The sequence below is a fragment of the Homo sapiens genome, chromosome 2, assembly GCF_000001405.40.
Source record: "Homo sapiens chromosome 2, GRCh38.p14 Primary Assembly".
Lineage (NCBI taxonomy): Eukaryota > Metazoa > Chordata > Mammalia > Primates > Hominidae > Homo > Homo sapiens.
In genome coordinates, this window is record NC_000002.12 from 78785795 (window position 1) to 78791722 (window position 5928).

At 33.9% G+C, this 5928-nt stretch overlaps 1 long non-coding RNA gene across 1 annotated transcript; it reads left to right on the forward strand.

Moving 5' to 3' along the window:
• Nucleotides 1-201: 201 nt before the first annotated feature.
• LOC105374821 (uncharacterized) lies at nt 202-5699 on the forward strand. Its single transcript, XR_940275.2, has 3 exons — nt 202-413; nt 800-880; nt 4870-5699. It is a non-coding gene; the product is annotated as an uncharacterized LOC105374821 (long non-coding RNA).
• Nucleotides 5700-5928: the final 229 nt, after the last annotated feature.

Genomic DNA, 5928 nt, shown 5'->3' on the forward strand with positions numbered 1-5928 from the left:
GGTAACGTGATCTTTTCTTCAAACAATATATTTTGACTAATATCCTGTTATTTAAATTTTCCTTCTAAATCTTGGTTTTAAATGAGATCTCAGTAAATCACATAAATATAGTTTATCACACCAAACACCCATTGTTAGGCATTTTTTATTCCTTTTCACTGTAATAAAACCTGTATCCATATAAGTGTGTATGCACGTGTATATAATCTCTGATTATTTAGCAATATATTTCTGAAGTAATTATTAAATCAATACCATAGTCTTTATAACTATATTTTTATAAAAGTTGCAATACCTGAGAGAACAAGTGTCTTTTAACTCATTTTTCTCTCCAGGGATGTCATGGGAATTCTGCTTCTTGGCAATTTTCACGGATTGTAAAATTAGCTTACCAACTTGCATAAAAACTTCTGGTGAGTTCTGATTAAAATCACATTAAATTTGAAGAGAATAAATACTTTTATGATATTGAGTCTCCCTAAATATTAACATGGTAAATATTTCCATTAGTTTTATCTTTTAGAATGTCTTTCAATAAAGTTAATAACTTCTCCATATAAGTCTTGCATACACTTTATATTTACTACAAGGTGCCTTAGAACTTTTATAGCTATGAAAATTTTATTGGACATTGATAGCAAATTTGCATTATTTTATTATTAATTCTAGAAGTCATTTACATTTTTTGCTAGTCATGTATCATATCACTTACAATTAATGAGAGCTTTATTTTTCCTTTTTAATACTTCTATGTTTGTCTTTTATTCTGTTTTCTTAATGTTCCATGGAAATCCTGCAGTATGTTATTGAATATCATCAGTTTTAGCAAGCATTCTTGTCTCATTCCTGATTTTAGAGGAAATACTTGAACTTCTCACTCGTAAGTATGATGCTTTCTGAAGATTTGAGTATTTACACTTCCCTTCCTCAATGATTTGTGATGTCAGCCCTGTCATACATTTCCATAAATATGTGGATCTGTTTCTCATTTCACAATTTTGTTTCACTCATCTATTTGTTTGTTGCTGCATATAAGGGTTGATTTGGGAGTATGAACTTGAGTGAATTAGAGATGCCCAGATAGCTGGCAAAGTATTATTTATTCCTAATCAGTGCATTAATTATTCTCAGTGCTTTAGTAAGAACTGAGCCCATCCCTCTTTTGATGCAAGGGAAACCCAGGTGGTTTGGCATTTGATTACAATGACTGGACTGCCTAGGTGTGTCTCTGAGGGTGTTTCTGCAAGAGATTCGCATGTGAATTGGTGGACTGAGTGGAGAGGATCCACCTTCATGTAGGTGGGTCCTGTGCAATCGACTGGAACAATTGGATGGTGCCTTTTTATTCTAGATCGAACAGAAAGGTAGTAGGGGCAAGGCAAATTCTTGCTATCGCTTCAGAAGCTGGGAAGCCCTTTTCTCCTGCCGTTGCATGTCAGAACTCGAGGTTCTCTGGCTTTTGAACTCTGGAACTTGAATCAGTACCCCACCCACAACTCACACTGAGAGTTATACCATCAGCTTCATTGGCTCTGAGGCCTTAGGACCTGGACTTAGCCATGCTACCAGCCTCCCTGTTTCTCCAGTTTGCAGACAGAATATGGTGGGACTTCTCAACCTCCATAATTGTGTAAGTCAATTTCCCTAAGAAATCCCTTCTTATGTATCTCTTTATATGTAGCCTATTGGTTCTATCTCTCTGGAGAGCCCTGACTAAAACACTGTGACAATACCAAACTGTGTAATTGTAGTAAATAAATTATGAATCTTGTGATTGGCAAAGTGTACACTCTCAATATATTCTTATTCAAAAATACTGCAGCTCTTCCTGAACCTCTACTCTTTCATGTGAATTTTAAAACCACTTTGCAAGTTTTTAAAATGACATTGAATTTATGGAAAATTTCAGAATTTTTAAAATTCCTATATTTAAAGATATAGGAATAAGTGACAACATTAAAATAGTCTGTGCTATAACATTCTATTTATTTGGATATTCTTTTGTGGGTTTCAGTAATGTTTTGAAAATTGCACTTTTTATATCTTATTTATTTTTATTCTCTAATTGGCTTACTAGAACTTTCATTACTATCTTGAATACCTGAGTTGACAGCAGCTATTCAATCTGGTTGCTAATTCTCTATACAACTCGTATTAGTCTGTTATCATACTGCTGATAAAGACAGACTTGAGACTGGGTAATTTATAAAGGAAAAGACGTTTAATTGACTCAGCTCCATGTGGCTGGGGAGGCCTCACAATCATGTGGAAGGCAAAAGAGACATCTTACATGGCAGCAGACAAGAGACAATGGGAACCAAGTGAAAGGGGAAACCCCTTATAAAACCAACAGCTCTCCTGAAACTTGCTCACTACCATGAGAACAGTATGGGGGAAACCGCCCCCATGATTCAATTATCTTCCACTGGGTTCCTCCCACAATATGTGGGAATTATGGGAGCTACAATTCAAGATGAGATTTAGGTGGGGACACAGCCAAACCATATCACAAGTTTTTATATAAGGTAGAATATTTACTGTTAGGTTGATGTTAGATTCACTTTAATGATTAGAAACTTTCCTATTGACAGCTACTAGTCTAATTTAGAGTGTAAAATAAAGAAGGAGATGTAACCGAATAATGCATTCTATCAATTCTAAAATGTACACTTTTTTTTTTTTTTTGAGTTGGAGTCTCGCTCTGTCACCAGGCTGGAATATAGTGGCATGATCTCAGCTCACTTCAACCTCTGCCTCCCAGGTTCAAGCGATTCTCCTGCCTCAGCCTCCCGAGTAGCTGAGACTACATGCGTGCACCACCACACCTGGCTAATTTTTGTATTTTTAGTAGAGGCGGGGTTTCAGGCTGGTCTTGATCTCCTGACCTCGTGATCTGCCCTCCTCGGCCTCCCAAAGTGCTGGGATTACAGGTGTGAGCCACCACGCCTGGCCCACTTTTTCTTTATATTGTACTATTGTTTAAATTATGATGCATGCTATAGTAGTTGTGATAAGAAAGAACTGTATCCTATTTACTAGCATATTTTTAAAATCATGAAGTACTGTTAAATTTTACTGAATATCTTCTTTGAATCTATTTAAATTTTTATGTGTTTTATTAATCTGTTAGAGTGGGAGGGTTAAATTTTATTATATAATTTTTAATAGTAAATTTATAAATACAATTTATAATTAATGATTTACAAATGATATATTTTTTTATTTCAGCCATTTTTGTATTTCCATAATAAATCTTTCTAGTTATGATATATACATATATAATATATAATAAATCCATGCATATATGAACTATATATATTATGTAGTCCTATAATCTATTTTGTTAGTACTATTTTGCCATTTTTGCACTTACATTTATATGGTGTATGTTAATACTTTCTTGTATTAGTCTTATCCAATTTGTGTGTTGTGGTAGGCAGAATAATGGCTCCGCCCAATGTCCATGTTCTAATCTCCAGATCTTATACACATATTATGTTACATGACAACGGAGAATTAGGGTTGCAGATGAAATAAAGGTTGCTAATTAGCTGACTTTAAGCTGGGTTAAATTATCCTGAATTATCCAGGTGAACCCACTGTAATTACAAAGATTTTTGAAGGATGGGAAAGGGTCAGTGTTGAAATGATTTCCTGTGACAAAAGCTCAACCAGACATTTATGGTTTGGAAAATGGAAGCAGCTATGAGTTAAGAAATGTGGGCAGCCCCTAGAAGCCTGATAAGGCAAGAAAATTGATTTTCCCTCAAAGCTTCCAAGAAAAGAATCCAGCCCTTCTAACATCTTGATCTTAGCCTAGTGAAAGGCTGACTTCCAGAACTGTATAATACTGAATTTGTGTTGCATTAAGCCACACAAATATGCAGTTATTTGTTAATGTAGCAATAGAAAATTAATACAGGTGTCAATATTATATTAACTGTTATAACACTATGATATTTCATTGAACCTAAGATGTCATTCAATTATAAGATATACTGGCATTTTATTGCTATTATATACAATTATGCCAATTAAAGTCTGACAGAATGCTTCCTTAGCACATCAACCGTCAGATGCCTCATACTTTCAAAACTCTTACCATATGGAAAAAGGCACACTTTAGAATATTCGATGTTTTCCTTATTTTTCTATTCACTAAAGCAACTTGCATAAAAAGAAATTATTAACTTCTTGAAATTTTGGTAAACTAACCTCTGAAGCCAAGTGTTGTCATTTGAAGGAGGGAACACCTTTGCTTAGTAATTAATCTTACATAACCTTTTGAATTTTTCTTCATAAGTACCCTGAATACTTTTGTATATATATGTATTTAAACATACGTGCTTATATGTAGTTAGTAACATTTATTTTATCATTTTGTATGTATATTCATGAGAGACTAATGAGACTTCTGTGTGTATTTCTGTGAATTTTTAAACTGGTTTTGTCTTTACAGTTTTCTCTGGTATACAGCTGTTTTCATCTTGGCTGACTGATCAGTATCTTTTACTTAGAGCCTGGGCAGATTGTTCAGCTTTTCTCTATCTTCAAATCCTTATTCCTTAAACACAATCTGTGTGGTCTCTCATATCATAGTTCCAGATTGACTTTATCTAATCCTGCTTGGATTTTCTCCTGATAATAGTAATAGGAGCACATATGCAATTAGAAAGTTTAATTTCAATTGGAAATTATATGAAGAGACAGCTGAAGTATTTATTATTTCTTTCATCAATTGCCTCAGTGCACCTTGTGCAAACTTTAGCCCAATTTGGCAAACATCTAGAACAATAATTAGTATAGCTAATTCAATAATTTCATTGTGATTAGTTGTATGTAACTACTGCTTTTTTTTTTTTTTTGCAGGAAAGGAACTAAAATAATTCTGAGTACTAGCAAGGACTAAGATGAAGTTCAATGTTATGACTGCAAAGTGAAATGATCAGAAGTTTCATGGCCATGAGTACTGCTGCCTGGCCCGGGCATGAGAAATGAGTTTGCTCTAGACTGCAGATTGTGAAGACGAGCTTTGCAAAAATCTAACATCTAGTGCATTCTGACTATGGAGAGGATATAATTGATGTAAGACTCCAAGAGATTGCTGGTGAATAGATCTGTGGTTAGATTTTAAACGATGGATTTAGAAAACAATTCAATGAGGTTAAAATTAATTTTAGTAAATGTGAGGGATAAGAGAAAGGAAGGCTGAGATAAGCTGTTTTATAAGAAATAGTTATGCTGAACAGATCCAAGTTTTGCTGAGGTGAAGCAGAAACAATATGGCGATTAGAAAGAACAGCGAGGTCAAGATGTTACTGCATTTTCAACCTGGGTAACTACGAGGTCAATATGTGAATAAGTTAACAATGTATTGCTGAAGAAATTATGAATAGAATGGAGAGGAAACTGGGAAAGTATAGAGTGTGGTTATTTACTACATGTTTTAGGTCACCAGTTAAAATAAATAAAGTTGACCTAGGTTTAAAAAGAAGGGAAAATGTTAAACAAGGATCATTGTTGAGTAATTGGAATTAAGAGTTCACACAAAAAGCAGGCTGTCTCTTAATCCTAGGGCATGAAGAGCAGGGGATAAAAGGATGGTCTCTGTCAGATATTTCCAAGAAAAAGCATTGTCAATTTTAGGATGTTTGCGTTTGGTAAATGTAGAAAGCTATCATCCATAGATGCTAACACTGTTTTGGCATATAACAGATTCTCAAAATTTGTTATTATGTTAGTGAAAAGTTTATATATTCATAAGTAAGAAATTTTCAAGATTAACTATATCTAATTTCGGTTTTCCTCTTCACCATATACACAGTCCCATTGAAAGGAAACATTGAGTAATACAGAAATTAGAATTTAGGCTTCACAAATTTTAGAATTAATTACACTGATTTTCACAATTTTACTGGTAATAATTGT